At 35.6% G+C, this 13574-nt stretch overlaps 1 protein-coding gene across 14 annotated transcripts in view; it reads right to left on the reverse strand.

Annotated features, from left to right (window-relative positions):
- Positions 1 to 13574, reverse strand: part of ZNF33B (zinc finger protein 33B) — a 64402-nt gene that overhangs the window by 14752 nt on the left and 36076 nt on the right. For 8 of the 14 annotated variants that reach the window (NM_001305033.2, NM_001305038.2, NM_001305037.2 and 5 more), the window contains one exon: positions 189 to 5779. In NM_001305033.2, the coding sequence (NP_001291962.1) occupies positions 3693 to 5779 (2087 nt within the window). In that variant the 3' untranslated portion in view covers positions 189 to 3692. Of the gene's footprint in view, positions 1 to 188; positions 5780 to 13574 lie in introns of those variants that run through there. The other 6 variants (NR_130951.2, NR_130949.2, NR_130948.2 and 3 more) reach the window with 3 other exon arrangements.

Below are 13574 nucleotides of genomic sequence, written 5' to 3' on the forward strand. Positions count from 1 at the left end.
TGGCTTCAGATGTCAAGAGAACCAAGAATACTAGTCCTTAATTTCAGGTCACAGTTACCATAATTTAAAATATATCAAGGATGTATAAAAGCAATTCAAATGTTCATTAACGGTGATTTACAGGTTCAGTCAGAAACACACGACTAACAAAAGAACACCTTAGTACAGAAACAAGATGTTCCTCAGGGTTGGTTGGTTATTTACTTATTTATTTACTTAATACACTTCATTTTTTAGAGCAGCTTTAGGGTTACAGAAAAATTGAGCAAAAAGTACAGAGAATTCTCATATAAACCTTTAACCCTCCCATCCTCCACAGGCTCCCCAATTATTAACATCTTGCATCATTATGGTTCATTTGTTACAATTGATGAGCCAATAGTGGTACACTGTTATTAACTGAAGTCCAGAGTTGACACTAGGGTTTACTCTGTGTTTTCCGTTCACTGTTTTCCATTCTCTGCATTTTGACAAATTACAGTACCCTACAGAGTACTTTCACTGTCCTAAAAATCACCTACCTGCCATCCCTCCTTTCCCCTCAACTCTCAGCAACCACTGGTCCTTTGACTCGCTCGATAGTTTTGCCTCTCCCAGAATGTCATATAATTGCAATCATACAACATAGAAAGCCTTTTCAGATTGGTTTTCACTTAACAATAAGCATTTAGGGTTCCTATATGTCTTTTAATGACTTGATGTCTAATTCTTTTTTATCATATACCTGAGGACTACATTCTACAACCCTGCTATAATTGCTTATTAATGTCAGCAGGTTTTTGTTATTTAGAATTTTCTACAAAGACAATCATGTTATTTGAGAACAAAGACAGTTGTATTTCCTCCTTCCAAATTTATGTGCATTTTATTTCCTTTTTTTTTGGTATCACTGCATTAGATAGCACTTCCAGTACAATGCTGAAAAGCAGTGGTGTTCCTTGCCATGTTCCTGATCTTAGTAGGAAAGCATTTAGTTGGAAACATCAAGGATGATGCTAGATGTAGGGTTTTTTGTAGTAGTTCTTTATCAAATTGAGTAAGTTCTCCTGTATTCCTTCTGTGTTGAGAGGTTTTATCATGAATGGATATTGGATTTTGTCAAATGCTTTTTCTGTACCTATTGATATGATCATATTTAATCTTTGAACTGCTAATGCATGCAATGGATTGCACTGAATATCAAATGTTGAACAAGGCTTGCATTCCTGATTTGCTAACATTTTAAGGATTTCTGCATCTGTGTTCACTGGAAATATTGATCTGTAGTTTTCCTTTCTTGTAATGTTTTTGCCTGGCTTTGGTATTAGGGTAATCCTGGCCTCACAAAATGATTTGGGAAGTGTTATCCCTGCTTTTATTTTCTGAAAGAGACAGTACAGACTTGGTATCATTTCTACCTTAAGTATCTCGAAAAATGCACATCAGTGAATCCATTTGGTCCCGGCACTTTTTTTGGAAGGTTTTATTATTATTAATTTTATTGAGATGGAGTCTCACTCTGTCACCCAGGCTGGAGTACAGTGGCACAATCTTGGCTCACTGCAACCTCCACCTCCCAGGTTCAAGTGATTCTTCTGCCTCAGCCTCCTGAGTAGCTTGGACTATACACGCATGCCACCACGCCCGGCTAACTTTTTGTATTTTTAGCCACCGCGCCTGGTCTTGGAAGGTTATTAATTACTGCTTCAATTTATTTAATAGATATATATGCCTACTGAGATCTACCTTTTATGAGCTTTGAGAGAATGCATCTTGCAAGGAATTGATCCATTTTAGCTAAGTTATCAAATTTATGGACAGAGTTGTCCATATTTCTTTCTAATCCTTTTGGTGACCATAGGATCAGCTATGATGGCCTCTTTCACTTTTGGTATTAGCAGTATTTGTCTTCTGTTTTTTCTTAATCTAGCTAGAGGTTTATCAATTTTACCCACCTTTTCAAAGAACAGTTTTGGGTTTTATTGATTTTCTCTTTTCAATTTCACTGATTTTTACTCTAATTTTTTTCCAGGTTACTTTGGATTTAATTTGCTCTTCTTTTTCTAGTTTTCCAAAGTGGAAGCTTAGATTACTTGTGTAATCTAGGGTCACCAGACTGTAAAATCTTAGATTATTTGTATGATCTGATCATGTAATGTAGTGTACAATCTTCACACTGTCAATAAAAGCCCCATGCCAGCTTGATTCTGGCTCTTCTCCAGCCTCAACCCTCCTCTTCATATTCTCAAAAGTCTCTGAAGGCCCAGATCCCTGTCTGGGTACAATGAGCAATGAAATGACAGTCCAACAGCCCTGGGCAGCAACTGGGCTGTATGTGTGGGCCTCTTTCCAGGGCCCTGTCTTGGAGAGCAGCTGCTTAAAGAAAATTTGGACTATCACTTACGCTGAAGGCTGGAGTGTTCACATATGTACCCCAGGCAGTTCATGGCATGGGATGAGCCACAGGTAGTAAGAGAAAGGGAGTAACATGGAGGCAGGCCTAGATCTTCACACGTACAGGATAGATTTTTTTTCAGATAATCTGTTATTTTGATTTATAACTTTTAAATGGATAAACATTAGCTCTGTGGGTCTCTATTTAAATTGTTTCAGGACACGACAAACACCTGGGATGGGCCTGATGAAGTAACCACTACTAAATTAGGATACCTACTTCCTATTCACAATTACGTTAAATACCATTATGCATATGAAACACACGATTTATATCACATACCACTTGTACATATGTAAGTCCTATGAACTTCAGGGATAATTCACAGATGTGCTTAATGCTGTTGCCCTGATTATTCAATTTATCTATGCTTTACAAAAAGCTTCATAGTCAAGTGGATGCCAGGGACAGGGATGCAGAAAGGGTGTGGTTATTAATACAACAAGGGAACTACTTGAGGCTAAATCCTGATTCCTTTGTAATCCTGAAACAGTACAGATCTCAGACTCCTTTTCCATTCTGTAAACTAATTGTGTTGATGGTTACTCAAATGTAAAAGTACCAGTTTGTTATAACCACACACACACACATACACGTACACACACAGAGTGCACGCAAACCATAGCAAAATCTGAGTAAGTCTGCATCTACTAGCAAGGTAACATCGATTTCTTGGACTTGACCATATACTATGATTATATATTATCCTTAGAGGAAGCTTGGTGAAGGGTACACGGGAATTCTCTGTACTCATTACAACTTCTTGTGAGGTTATTTTAATTATTACTTCTTAAAAAATTCTTAAAGCTTTACATTCCACAATGTACATCTATAAATTATTGTTAGATACCTTAAAAACTATTATGGCATCAAACTCAAAACAGAACTTGTCATATTTTATTTCTAAGCAAAATTTTCACTTTAGATTTCTTAAATTGACAATTTTCTCCTCAGTGTAAATGCTAACATAATCCTATTTGTAGTTTTGCCAAAAACTTTCACAAATTCAAAAAAATCTGTGAGGTTTTATGCCAGTATTAACCATCTGATATTCAACAGAATATCACTTCCTAACAAAAGCCATCCTATAGTTGTTGTAGTCTATGGGTTTATCCCCTACTGTTACTTTGGAGTAACATAAGGCGAGTTTGTGGATAGTTATTGAACATTCAGGATGTCAACAGGCCCTTCTCCACAGTGTGAAGACTCTGAGGCATTATGGAGGCTGACTTGTGGCTGGAAATTTCTAATATCCAATTCATTCATAAGGTTTTTCTCCTATGTGTGTTCTCTGATGTACAATGAGATTTGACTTTTGAGAGAAGGTTTTCCTGCATGTGTTACATTCATAGGGCTTTTCCCCTGTATGTGATCTCTGATGTTTAGCAAGGTCTGATTTACGGTAAAAGATTTTTCCACATTCATTACACTGACAAGATTTCTCTCCTGTGTGAGCCCTGTGATGTACTGTGAGTGATGATTTGTGACTGAAGGATTTCCCACATTCATTGCATTCATAGGGTTTCTCCCCCGTGTGCTTTCTCTCATGTAAAATAAGTCCTGACTTCACACAGAAAGATTTTCCACATTCGTTACATTTATAAGGCTTTTCTTGTGTATGGGTTCTCTGATGTACAATTAGAGCTGACTTATGGCAGAAAGCTTTTCCACACTCATTACATTCATAGGGTTTCTCCCCTATGTGAATTCTCTGATGCTGAGTGAGTTGTGACTTCTGGCAGAAGGTTTTTCCACATTCATTACATTCATAGGGTTTCTCCCCTGTATGTGTTCTATTATGTTTTGTTAGGTATGATTTATTGTAAAAGATTTTTCCACATTCATGACATTCATAGGGTTTCTCCCCCGTGTGTGTTCTATAATGTTGAGAGAGGGTTGACTTATGGCTAAAGAATTTCCCACATTCAGGACATGCAAAGGGTTTCTCCCCTGTGTGCGTTCTCTGATGTATTGTGAGGTCTGACTTCAAGCAGAAGGTTTTCCCACATTCATAACATTCATAAGGTTTCAACCCTGTATGAATTATCTGATGCCTGGTGAGTACTGACTTGTGGTAGAAAGTTTTCCCACATGCATTACATTCATAAGGTTTATCTCCTATGTGAGTTCTCTGATGCTGTGTAAGATGTGACTTTTGACAAAAGGATTTCCCACACTCAAGACATTCAAAAGGTTTCTCACCTGTGTGAGTTCTCTGGTGTACTGTAAGGTGTGAATTCATACAGAAGGATTTTCCACATTCATAACATTCATAGGGTTTCTGCCCTGTGTGTGTTCTCTGATGTTTAGTGAGGTCAGATTTCTGGTAAAAAGTTTTCCCACATGCATTACACTGATAGGGTTTCTCCCCTGTATGTGTTCTCTGGTGTAATGTGAGGGCTGACTTATGGCTAAAGGCTTTCCCACATTCATTGCATTCAAAAGGTTTCTCCCCTGTGTGTGATCTCTGATGTTTAGTGAGGTTTGACTTCTCCCAGAAAGTTTTTCCACATTGATTACATTGAAAGTGTTTCTCTCCTGTGTGCACCCTCTGATGTCGAGTGAGATGTGACTTCTCCCAGAAAGCTTTCCCACATTCATTACATTCAAAGTGTTTCTCTCCTTTATCACCTTTCTGAAGCTGTGACAGACACAATTTCCTCCTGAAATTATTCCCACTTTCACCACAATCATAGTGTTTCACAGGTACCCCATCATGTTTAGAAAGGGTGGACTTCACACATAAGAACTTCTCACAATCACTAAATTCATAGTGACTGTCCTTTGATGGAGGTATCTGATGGAACAAGAGGGATGAACTATCACAGAAAGTTCTCCCAAATTCATTATAGTCACAGTTATTCTCTTCTGCATTCTCTCTCTTCCGTGTATTGAATACTGCCTTTTCAAGGAGGGTTTCCTGACATATACTGTATTCAAAATTGTGGTCTAAAGTTTGAATCTTCTCATGCTGCAAAGTGTTCTCACGATGACTCAGAGTGTTCCTATTTTTCAAAACTTCATTTTTCTCTCGAGTATGAGTTTCATCATGCTTAATATTGAGTAACAATTTCCCACATGCATTAAATTCGTCAGACTTTTTTCCTAAATAGTTTATCTTACTGATAACCAATTCTGAAACAGTGTTGAAACTCATTCCACGTGAGTCATACTGACAGAACATTTTTCTGGAAGGAAAAGAACTTACGTCCATGTTAAATGGTATTCCTATTACATTACCTTGTTCCTTAGTCAGCATTTCATTATTGATGAATACAACTTCCCACAAATGTTTAGATTGATTTTCTTGGCTCCTCTCTTTCAGGTGATCAGCTGTCCAGACTTCTACAAACAAACAAAATTAATCTTACCATATAAATACCAAAACATCTCTTAGGGAATGAAATCTCTACACAAATGCCCTATGTTGTAGCTGACTCTGGTTTTTTGGCCAATTTCCAGAGATGAACATAATTGCAAGTGCATATTTTTTTGTATTTCATGAGTTTGGAGTGAAAAAACAAAAACAAAAACCAGAAACAAAAGGCCTAGGCTAGTGGAAAAACAGAGAGGAAATTAACTATCTGAATGCACACACTTGGTTTCTAATGTAAGAAGAATAATAGCAACTGCTTACATCTGCATTTCCCCATGCATCTCCCCAAGAACTATAAAGGTCAGCATAAGTGGAGCAAATAATATTATCTATAACAACCCATGACTTTAGCATAACTAGGAGATGGAGAATATTACTCATTTCAAATCACCACTATGCAATAGATATTCAAATACAGCAAAAAGTGACAGCCCATGCCTACAAAGAGAGTCAGCCAGAGACTGTGGTGATCACATGGAATAGAGGAGACAGACAGCCCAGAGAGGATGAAACACAAAACTACTCCCAGAAAGGGAAAGTTTTACTATGAGTGAGAAAATGCTCAGAAGATGTCTGAATTCACATAGATTAAAGCTCAGGCTACTGGGAAATCCAAGAGAAGAGACTTGGATTGTATGTAAACTAAAGAGGCAAAGGGTAATCAAACTCAGGAATGAAGTTGTAAAGAGGACAGAGTAATCACAGAAAATAAGACTTGTAATTCAAGTCTTATTAAAGACTTATTAAAGACATTCCTTATTAAGGAATCTGTCATGGACTAAACTGTGCCCCCCAAAAATGTGTATGTTAAAACCCCAACCTCCAGTGTGACTGTATTTGAAGATGGGGACTTTAAGGAGATTAACTAAGGTTTAATGGGGTCATAAGGGTAAGACTAATACAATGGCATTCATGTCCTTATAAGAAGAGGAGGAGACTGGAAAGCACATGCATGAACTCTCTTTCTCCCCCTGCCCACCACACCCGACCACTGGTCATATGCACAGAGAAAAGGCTGTGTAAGGACACCAGAAGAAAATGCCATCTGCAAACCAAGGAGTGAGAACTCACCAGAAACCAACGCTGTTGTCACCTTGACTTTAGAATTACAGCTTCCACAATTGTGAGAAAATTTATTTAAGCTACCCAGTCTGTTGAATTTTGTTACAGCAGCCTGAGTAAAGTAAAAAAGAGCCAAAGGGGAAACTACACTTGACTGAAACTTGAATAAACAGCATTGTAAAGGAGAATGAAACAGAAAAAAGAGAAGAAACAATAATTTTAAAAGAGTAAGAAAAAAGAAAATTGGATCAGAAAGAAAGTTCTGGATAAAGCTGGTCTACAATTAAATAAATAAAATTATAATATAGTATATATGTTATTGCAGTCCTTAAAGAAGAAAAAAGAAAACAATGGAATAAATCTAATATTAGAAAGTATAATCTAAGAAAACTGTCCAAAACTAAAAGACCTGATCCATGATGGTTCCTATTCAAAAGAACCATCATGAACCTGGGAAAACTGTTCAGCAACAGTTTTCTCTAAAACATATCTTAATAAAACTACTAGATGTTAAAATTGAAGAAAAAGTACTCTGGACAAAAAGACCAAGTCTCAGCAAACTTTTACTTTGATAATGAGTCTTGAAATCAGGTAATGTTATACATATGACTCAGCTTTTATTTTTCAAAGTTTTAGTTATTGTAGTTCCTGTGTATTTCCACATAAGGTTTAGAATTACATACTCAATTACTACAAGAAATCCTGCTAATTACTACATGGAATTATATTATTTTAAATCTATAAGTCATTTTAATGACAAAACATGTCAGCAATATTGAGCTTTCTGACATAAGCAGGGAGTTCCACTTGTTTAGGTCTTCAATTTCTCTCTGCAGTGGATTATTGTTTCTAGTGTGGTCTTTCACATCTTTTGCCAGACATAGCTGTAAAAAAAAATTTTTGATACTATTGCAAATAGAACTTTTAAAAATTGCAATTTCCAATTGATCATTTCTTATAGAAGATTCATTTTTACATATTTTTCTCCTGTCACCTAGCTACACTTAATAATTCTAGTCATTCTTTTTCCCATATCTTGGGAGACTCCATTAGATTTCCTACGTAGATAATCATATCTTTTGTGAATAAAGACATTTCTACTTCTTTTCCACTCTAGTCTCCTTTCTTTTTCTTCCTTGGTTATACTAGATAGCATATATTATACTATCAGGTATGAGTGTACATCCTTGTCATGTTTCTGATATTGGAAAGAAATCATTCCATTTTTCACAATTATATACAATGTCAATTGTACATTTTCTATAGATGACTTTTATTAAAGAAAGTTATCTTCTATTCTTCATTTGAGAGTTTTAATCAGAAATGGATGCTAAATTTTGTCAAATGCTTTCTCGCATATGTTGAAATGGTCATACGGGTTTGACTTTTTTTCTCTTTTTTTCATTTTAATACAGGGCAGAGATGACTACATAATTGATGGGGCCAGTGCAAAATAAAAATGTGAGGTCAGTTACTCAGAATGTATAAAAAGAAGTATAGTAAAAAGTAAAATAAATTATGCTTTTTTCCTTTAACATATTTTACTACTTGTAAAATGTAATAGGTATAATAGTAACATAAAACAACATAAATTTACAAATCACAAAAAACAGTTTTGTTGTAATAAACTTTAAATAATACAATAATTACTAATAGTTTGTTAATATGATACCTTGATTGATCATAAGATTTTCTGGCACTCTTTTTGCAAATTCATTTATTAAGTCATCGAAATTTATATTTTTAGCAACTTCATTTTCAATATATAATTGAAAGTAACATGTATTCTTGGCAAATGCAAGATAAGTAATTTTTGCTAATTTTTAATTTTGAGAAGGTTGATTTTTCAGCTGATGCAATCATTAGGGACCTGTTGGTTCTTTATACATTGTGACAATATGGGCTAAATTTCTGATTTCTGATATATTACTGCACAATAAAAGTTAAAAAAATACAAGTTTTGGTATATATAGACAAAGACTGGAGTAGCACTTCTCTGCAATTAATTCTTCATGAATGTTAGTTTTGTACAAAACTGAATTCAATTTTACATATAAATTTATACAATGGCATTTTAATGTTTCCTCTGACATTTCCTACATCTTGTACAAGAAACCAAAAATGGCTTCATGATTTGCATATAATTGGAAACACCTGTTTATGCAGTATATTGCTGTATTTTCAAATGCAAAAAAAACCCTATTTTTAAAGTTGACTTCTTTGTTAATACTTGATTCATCCAAAATTTTAAATGAAAATAATGTTCTCTCCCATCAAATGAAATTCCTATTTCTAAGCCTGTGGATATTTGCTTTGCAATGTTGCAGCAGTTCTTAACACCAGAGAATCTACACTCCAAAGAATTCTAGTAACTGCCTAGTGTGCCTTAACACAATGTCCACAAGTATGCTTTTATTTTCTAATACTTTACTGACCATGATGACTGCCTGAAAGCTGGAGGTTACTGTCCCAGTACTCAGCCCAGAAAATTAGTATTTCCTAAGAATGGCAGAGGGACAGACTTAGGGGAGAGACAAACCAGCCTCACGCTGTGGGTCCTCTCTGGGTTGCAAATGTTCATGAGTTTGCTGCTGCTGCAACCAATGCAGACAAAGGTCATGGCCTTGGCCACCCACACACAATTCCAGAACACTCCCAGGCCATACTACACAGACCAACAGCTTAGTAGGGCACTGCCTCTCAAGTATCCTGTCTACTTGCACACATAGTCCAGTGTCCATCAGACTTCACATACAAATCACGAGTTCAAAGATAAAACTGTGAAGAACTTCAAGATGGCAACAGCAGGGCATTAAGTGAAGTACAGGATCCCTTCTTACAAGAGTGTAGCAACGTGTGACTGCACAGGTCACCTAGCCATGAAGTTGGCCGAGATACAGGGAATTACACTGACTGCTTTTCAAATGTTGAAAAAGCCTGCCAGGGATTAACCACACTTGGTCATGAGGTATTAATAACCTTGTTATATACCACTGGTTTCTAATCACTAGTGTTTTTGAATTTATGTTCATGAAGGACACTGGTCTACAGCTTTCTTTCCTTGCAATGTCTCTGTCTGGTTTTGTTATTAGGGCAATGCTGGACTCAAAGAATGATTTAGGAAGTATTCCCTCTTCTTGAATTTTCTGGAAAAGTCTTTATAAATTGGTACTATTAATTGTTTGCTGGAATTCACTACTGAAGCATCTAGGGACCTGGGGTTTTCTTTGTGGAAAGGTTATCTATTTGTTTTGGAGCAAGCCGTAATAGCTGTTTATTTGAATGAAACTGTTCATTTCATCAAAATCGTCAAACTGATAATTTACAGGTATAGTATTCCCTCACTTCCTTCATAATATCTATAGAATCTTCAGTGATACATCATTCTTATTTTTGATATTGATAATCTGTTCCACCTAGAAGTTTATCCATTTTATCGATCTTCTCAATGAAACAGCTTTTGGTTTCACCGATTTTCTCAACTGTTTTTCTGGTTCTACAGATTATATTGTTCTCCATTTTGTTTTTTATTATTTCCTTTCTTCTACTATTATATGGATTTGTCTTCTTTTCTACATTCTCAAAGTGGAATTAGCTAAGACCATTGATTTAGACCTTTCTTCTTATCCAACACAAGTTAAACTTCATACATGTGTATATTACATATATACATATGTATATTACATATATACATATGTATAAATGCATACACATGAAATTCCCTCTATGTGAAATTTACACATTATATATTTAATATATATTACACATAATACATTATATCCCATATATGACAAACGTCATATATGCATTTACATATTGTGGAAACTTCATATATGCATTTACATATGGTGGATATATATGCACACAATACAAACACACACAATGCTTATTTGTGTCGCATAAGAAAGATCTCAAATCAATGACCTCAGGTGCTTCTACCTTAAAAAGCTACAAAAAAGCAAATTAAACCCAAAAGTAAGTAGCAAAAAGGACTAAGGATCAAAATGGAAAACAATGAAATCAATGAGTATTGTATGTATTTTATATTTCCTATGAATTTCCTATATGTAAATTTCCCATAAATTCCATTTTCATTAACCCAAAGTTCAAAACACTTTCTAATTTCCTCTTCGAATTCTTCTTTGAAGCATCCATTACATAGACTTATATTCAGTTTCCAACTATTAGGGATTTAATAGATACTTCTGTTATTGATGTTTAATTTAACTAAATTTAAACCCCTTATGGTGGGAGAAAATACTCTATATGACTTCAATCCTTTTATATTTATTAAGATTTGCTTTACAATCAGGATGTGATTTACCTTTGTTAATATATTCGTTCATCTGCCCTTGAAAAGAATGTATATTCCACTGTTTTATTTGGGGAGGAGTGTGCAGAAGAATATTTTATAAATGTCAATTAAGTTATTTAGGGTTAAGTCTATTATATCTTTGCTCCTTTTCCATTTCCTGTTTTATTAATTATTAAAAGGATGCTAAAGCCTCTGATTATAACTGTGGATCTATTTCTCCTTCCAGATCTATCAGATTTTGCTTCAAATATTTTGCAAATCTGTTACTAAGTTTAGGATTGTTAAATCCTCTTGATGAAATGATCTCTATCAATATGAAAAAAAATCTTTATCACTGGTATTCCTGGCTCTGAAAGCTACTTCATCTGGCTGTCACAGCACTGCAGCCTTGTGAATAATTTTACCATTCTACATCTTTTCCCATTCTTTTTGTTTATCTATTTGTCTTTGAATCTAACATGTTTCCTTTATAGGCAGCATGATTGGATCTTATTTTTATTTATCTTATCCAGAAATCTCTGCCTTTAAATGGGGTGTTATATACCATTTATATTTTCTGTGATCATCAATGTTTATAAAAGCTTTAATCAGTGTACTTTTCAGTAACAGTATATATATGAATCTTCCAATAGTATATACTTTACTTCTTTTTCATAGCCTTTTCAGGCTGTGATTGTCATGTATTTTCAATATATGTTATAAACCCCACAATACATTTGATGTTATTTTTGTATAAAGTCAATATCCTTTTTAGAGACTTACATAAAGAAAAATATCTTGTATACATATCCAAGTAGTCAACATTTCCTGTTCTTCATCCCCCTGAGTAGATCCAGATTTCCATCAGACATCAGAACATGTCTTGTGATGCAGGTCTGCTGGAGAGGAAATCTTTCAGCTTTGTTTAACTGGAATGTCCTTATTTCTTCACTGTTTCTTATAGCTATTTTTACCAAGTATATAACTCTACATTGAGATTTTTGCTTTTAAAACCAAAAATAATGTTCTACTATTTTCTCTGTTGCCTCATTTAAGGAGAAATCTGTTATCATCCTTGCCTTTGTTCCTCCATAAAACATGTCCTTTATCTCTGGCTGCTTTGAGGACTTCATTTTAACACTGATTTAGAGCATTCTGGTTATGATTCATGTGGCTTGGTGTAGTTTTCTTCATGCCTCTTGTGCTCAGGGTTTGACGAGCTTCTTAGATCGGTAGGTTCCCAACACATTTGGAAATTTTTTCATTATTCTCAAAATACTGTTTTCTGTTCTTTTCCCACTTTCCTTTTAGAGACTCCAATTCCATGTGTGTTAAGAGACTACCTGAAGTCCTGAAGTTCTCCTAAAGCTCACATGGGCTTGTTTTTTTTTTTTTTTTTTTTTTTTTGAGACACAGTCTCACTGTCACCAGGCTGGAGTGCAGTGGTGCAATCTCAGCCTCACTGCAACTTCTGCCTCCCATGTTCAGGTGATTCTCCTGCCTCAGCCTCCTGAGTAGCTGGGACTACAGGTGCCTGCCACCACACCCGGCTAATTTTTGTATTTTTAGTAGAGACAGGGTTTTGCCACGTTCGCCAAGATAGTCTGGATCCCTTGATCTCGTGATCCACCCACCTTGGCTTCTCAAAGTGCTGGGATTACAGGCATGAGCCACTGCAACTGGCCCAAGGGCTTGCTTATTTTTCAAATATGCTTTTTCTCTGTTTCATTTGTATGGCTTCTATTACTGTGTTTTTAAGTTCAATAATCTTATTCTTCTGCAATCTTTGAACTGCCATTAATTCTTGCTCTATGTGATATTCTTTTTTTTTTTTTTTTTTTTTTGGGGGGAGACAGGGTCTCACTCCATCACCCAGGCTGCAGTGCAGAGGTGCAATCTTGGCTCACTGAAACACCCACCTCCCAAGGCTCAAGTGATCCTCCCACCTCAGCCTCCCAAGTAGCTAGGACAACAGGCATGCACCACCACACCCAGCTAATTTTTTTGTTGTTTCATTTTTGGTACAGATGAGGTTTCATCATGTTGCCCAGGCTGGTCTCGAACTCCTGAGCTCAGGAGATCCACCTGCCTTGGCCTCCCAAAGTGCTGGCATTACAGGTGTGAGACACCAATGACTGGCCATGTATTTTTCATCTCAAGCATTATAGTTTTCATTTCTGGAAATCTGATTTCTATCTTTTCTGTTACACTGAATTTTGATTTGTTTTTTTTTTTTTAATCTTCTGTGTCTCTACTTAAGTTTTAGAACATATGGAACCAAATTATAGCACTGTTTTCAATGAACCTGTCAGTTAATTCTAATATCTATGGCAATTCTGAGTCCATTTCAATTTCCTGGTTAGTCTCTTTGAGAAAGCTCATGTTTTCCCATATGTCTGTAAGTCTGG

The sequence above is a fragment of the Homo sapiens genome, chromosome 10 (genome assembly GCF_000001405.40).
Source record: "Homo sapiens chromosome 10, GRCh38.p14 Primary Assembly".
Lineage (NCBI taxonomy): Eukaryota > Metazoa > Chordata > Mammalia > Primates > Hominidae > Homo > Homo sapiens.